Here is a 1,420-nt window from a genome sequence, read left to right as displayed (position 1 = left end):
CTGTTGCAGGAAAGAAAAGAGGAAATGGTCAGTTAAAGGCAGTAATGAAAGAAGTGCCCAATATGACTCTGAGCCTTTCAAAAACAACGAGATTGGGATGAAATGTTGAGGGGCCAGGGCTGGCATTAAGTGGAATTTCAAATAACAGTAACTTACTTGAAAAGGTATTCAAGAAATAATTAATATAGTATCTTCAAAAGGACATCATGCTATTACCTGTCACTATCAACCATCATATTGTGAATTTAACATCCTAATCAGTACCTTCTCTTTTATCTATTCTTTATCTATTTGCATATCCAAACACTTAATTACAACAGGCACACTGCTGAATCCACTCAATCAGTTAATGATAATTATCTACAAATCCTACTGGTCATAGACTAGTTTCAAGGTAGAGGTGATGACTGACAGCTAGCAAAAGTGAAGGGGAAAATGTGAAGCCCTGCAGAGTTATATATTTAAAAATGCAACATGGAGACTAATAAAGTCACTTAAAAAGATGCATCCTTACAGAAAAGTTATTCCAAATGTATTATATTTCCAAATACATTTACTAGATATGAACTTTCATATACTATGTTATAAAAAAGCTGTAGCTGAATAAGTTGCCATTTCCTTTTAAAATGTATTTTAAAACTCTGATACAAAACCTTATTCATGCTTAATGGAAAATTTTAGAGAATAAAATATAAAGAACACAGTATGAAGGTGATAAAGATTATTCATTATATTATCACTCAAAGATAACTGATCGATTTGCTTACTTTCCTTTTTTCTATACATATACTTAACAAAATTGGAATCATTATTTTTCTTTTTGTTACCTAACATATGTCATGACCACATTACCACATGATTTAAAACAATCATTCAAAGAAAAAAAAGAAATTCAAAGAAAAAATTTTTCAAAGAAAAAAAAGTAGTATAAACGTAGTGAACAGAAGCATGTATGAAGGCAGAGAGACTTTTTTCTTTCCCACTTCTTGTCTCCCTTCCTCTTTATCTTCCTCCAAAATAGCTTGCACCTCAAGTCACCGAGGAGAATGACTAAGCTCCAGCCCACAAAACATTTCCACTTATCTCCTCCTTCGAGACCTCTAGGTCCAGATGAGATACACCATTGTGATCCCTTGAAGAGTTGCCAAGCTCACGACTAGGGGTAAATTATTTTTCAACAGCACCACCTTCCTTCCGTCTGTGCTTTCCTGCTTTTATAGGAGGTCTTTTAGCAAATTTCGAAATGACAGAAGACACAGTTGAGGAAGTCAAGGCAATCCACAGATAGTAATCATGCCTTCTTGCTCCAGAATGTATTCTATCTGTTTTTAGATTAGAGAGGTAAAGAAGTTAATTGAAAGGTGCCAGATTTGATTTCCCTACAAAATAAGCTAACATGACAGGACATGGCGAACTGCAA

At 34.2% G+C, this 1,420-nt stretch overlaps 1 protein-coding gene across 6 annotated transcripts in view; it reads right to left on the bottom strand.

The window, feature by feature from the left end:
• The window catches only part of FLRT2 (fibronectin leucine rich transmembrane protein 2), a 124,285-nt gene that overhangs the window by 33,290 nt on the left and 89,575 nt on the right, over positions 1 to 1,420 (bottom strand). The window lies entirely within an intron of this gene.

This window comes from Homo sapiens, chromosome 14 (assembly GCF_000001405.40).
Source record: "Homo sapiens chromosome 14, GRCh38.p14 Primary Assembly".
NCBI classification, from domain to species: Eukaryota; Metazoa; Chordata; class Mammalia; order Primates; family Hominidae; genus Homo; species Homo sapiens.
Note: the sequence above shows the minus strand (reverse complement) of the source record. Positions and strands in the feature narration are given on the sequence as shown.